The sequence below is a fragment of the Homo sapiens genome, chromosome 9 (genome assembly GCF_000001405.40).
Source record: "Homo sapiens chromosome 9, GRCh38.p14 Primary Assembly".
NCBI lineage: Eukaryota > Metazoa > Chordata > Mammalia > Primates > Hominidae > Homo > Homo sapiens.
Genome location: NC_000009.12, coordinates 87,954,559 through 87,957,416, shown reverse-complemented (window position 1 = coordinate 87,957,416; position 2,858 = coordinate 87,954,559). Strand labels below are relative to the sequence as shown.

Here is a 2,858-nt window from a genome sequence, read left to right as displayed (position 1 = left end):
AACACATTTCAAAGTATAACCATGGAGTTATAGTATCAAAGAACTTAAGATTGAAAGGGCCTGTGGACATTATCTAGTCTGACTCTCATATTATAGCCTCAGAAAAAAATGAATGCCTACGAATGGAAACGGATTTGCCTAGCAATCCTGGAAAGAGCTGGGAACAGAACTTGACCTCTATTACACAGTAATAAAAATATTAATGGAAACAACAGTCATCACAAGAGCTAGTACCATTTTAGGGGTGGCTGCAATATGCCCTATATATATGTTATCTTATTTAATCCTTAAAAACAATATTTTAATATAGGTATTATCCTCATGTTGAATTTAAAAAATGAGTTTTTAAGTCTAGGAACATACAACTAATACATGGGAAAACCTACATTTAAATTGAGTTTTCTTATAGATACAAAATTCCATGTATTTCCCACTATTATTTTCACCTTAATTTTAATATTTATTATTATTTACTCATGCTATTAAAACTGTAGAAAATAATTGAAAATGATATCAATGAGAAGAGAACAGGATTAAGGCAAATATAATATGTATTTCATGATCAGTATCTGAAAGATCTCTAAAATAGCTCAGCTTTATTCTTGCCTCCAGGAGAATCTGTAAGAAAATAACACGTGCACTGCATATTACCACCTCAAGTTGTAAAGAAATAGAATCAGCTGGGAAAAAAATCAGCGCATTATTCTCTCTTTTGTAGGAGGTTTTGTTTATTATTTTAGAGGCAGTCCATTTGTGTCCTCAATTATCTAGTCCTTTTTTTTCTTTTTTGGCTTGTCCCAGTAGCCACTTCTACTGCTTTCTTGGGTCACAGAGAGATACAGAAGGAGACCCAGGTGTGTTCTGTCTGTATTGGATGTTTCAGATGAACTCGTCCCCTATGGTGGCACAGCATCAGTCACCACAATGGCTTTTGAGGAAAATAGCCAGTTGTCTTGTGAAGCTTTACCAAAAATCTCTTCAGGGCTGCTTTTTCTCTATCAATCTCCCTGATCTGGATGTCTAAAGCCTTCTGGATGCTTTGGATCTGAATCCTGGTTCTCCTTTCCTCTCCAAGGTTGTTCACGAAGGCCCTTCGCAGGTACAGGGAATCTCCTGCTTTGAAGGCGCTCTTATTCGTTACGAAGCCCATGCCACCTGTGTTCACACTTTGGTGGAGGATGTTCAAGACAGGACAGTGAGGCTGCCTGTAAATGTCTCTGGAAAATGATTCTCCTGTGGTTTGGAATATTATAACCACAGCACCATGGGAACAGAATCTTGGAGCTGAGTGGCATCAGAGATCCACTTAGCCCAAAACCCTTACATTTACTAGTGAGAAGATTTTAAGCTTGCAGCTGTTCTTAGTGTAAAAATATAGATGAGTGCATTGATAGACCAGAATGGCCATAAGGATGCTGACTGCCATCCTGGGCTTCTACTTAGGCTGAAAGGTAAGTGCCTTTCGGTCCTCATAAATCAGGACCAGAATGTTTATGGAGAGAAAAAACTAGAAAGTTGATTCAATAAATTTGTTTAGTTTCAGAAGCAATTCTTTATTCCTTTATGTGTATGCATCCTTGAAGTTGTTAAATAATTAAGATTGTGCCATTTGTCTAGGTTTGGGGTTACACTTAAATTAGATAACTTTTTCATGAGGTATTTAGTTTTCATATAAGAAAGAACAGGAAACAGAAAAATACACGTTATCTATTCTTTTGCTCAAAAAGGAAACAAGAAATCTAAACGAAAAACCAGTAAGATTAGAGAGACAGGAAGAGGCAGGGTAGATAGGATGGGGGAATGGGAGTAGAAAAGGAGGAATAGGAAGAGGGATACCTTTTTGAGTGTACCCTTTACCTGTTCTTATATTTAGAAACAAGCTAATTTTTCATGTGCTCAAAAATAATTAAGGAGTGGGAGGGATGCTACCCTAAACTACTTTATGTGTATTCTAAGATTGTGCAAAGAAGTAAATACAATATGGATAATGAGGGCCGGGTTCTCTCTGTTGGAGAAGGAGCTATAAATAAGAAAGGAAGAAGGTTAAACTATACCTGTGGTGCTGAATTGGAATTGCAGATACCAGTATAAATTTATGATTCTACGAATCAGTATGAATCTGTAGTTATGTGAATCCATTATTACATGAACCAGTATGAATGAATGGTTCTATGAATCAGTATGAATTCTTGTGAAGAATGGCCCACTAGACCTTCTGGCCTTCAAAGGTACCTTAGGAGTTGGGATTTTGTGACTCTTCCTCGCATGAATTGAGCCCCATTTATTCCCAGCTTCAGAATTATTTCTGAAAAATTCAGAAGACAGGTTTTATGTCTCCTCTTTGGGTTTTATCTCTGACTTTCACCTAAGTCTTGATTATGTTATTTTATTCCTTTAAAATTCATCATGAGCAGATACATGTCAAATTCTTCCTGCTGTCTTTAATCAGGAGCAGAAAATCGGAGCAATGTGTCCTTCATGTCTAGGAAGGGGCATTTTTCTTCTGACAGGATAATTTTATTAGTTTTCAACTTTCAACTATAGCCTTTGGAAAGCGTCAAAAGACTTAGTATTCATATTCATGTCACTAACTAGAAATGAATGTACTTACTGAGAGCCCAATCAGGCCCACACACTTGGAAGTGACATCTCAAGAGACCTTTCCAGACAGGACACTCTGGCAGAGATGACCAAGCTGGCACGAGGTGTGGAAATGAATGTTTGGACAGAAAAGACTTGGGCAAGAAAACCCCTTCAAATCACTGAAAGGCTGGCCTGTGGAAAAGGAAGTAGACACTGTGCCCTGACCGCAAAACCAGGATCAGCAGATGGAAACAGCACATTACTGCTCAGGGCCA

General features: G+C 37.8%; 1 protein-coding gene across 1 annotated transcript; it reads right to left on the bottom strand.

The window, feature by feature from the left end:
- Positions 1-533: 533 nt before the first annotated feature.
- LOC122394732 (uncharacterized) lies at positions 534-1,203 on the bottom strand. The gene has a single exon (NM_001395917.1). The coding sequence runs from the start codon at positions 1,148-1,150 to the stop codon at positions 917-919; it is 234 nt and encodes a 77-aa protein (NP_001382846.1). The 5' UTR covers positions 1,151-1,203; the 3' UTR covers positions 534-916.
- Positions 1,204-2,858: the final 1,655 nt, after the last annotated feature.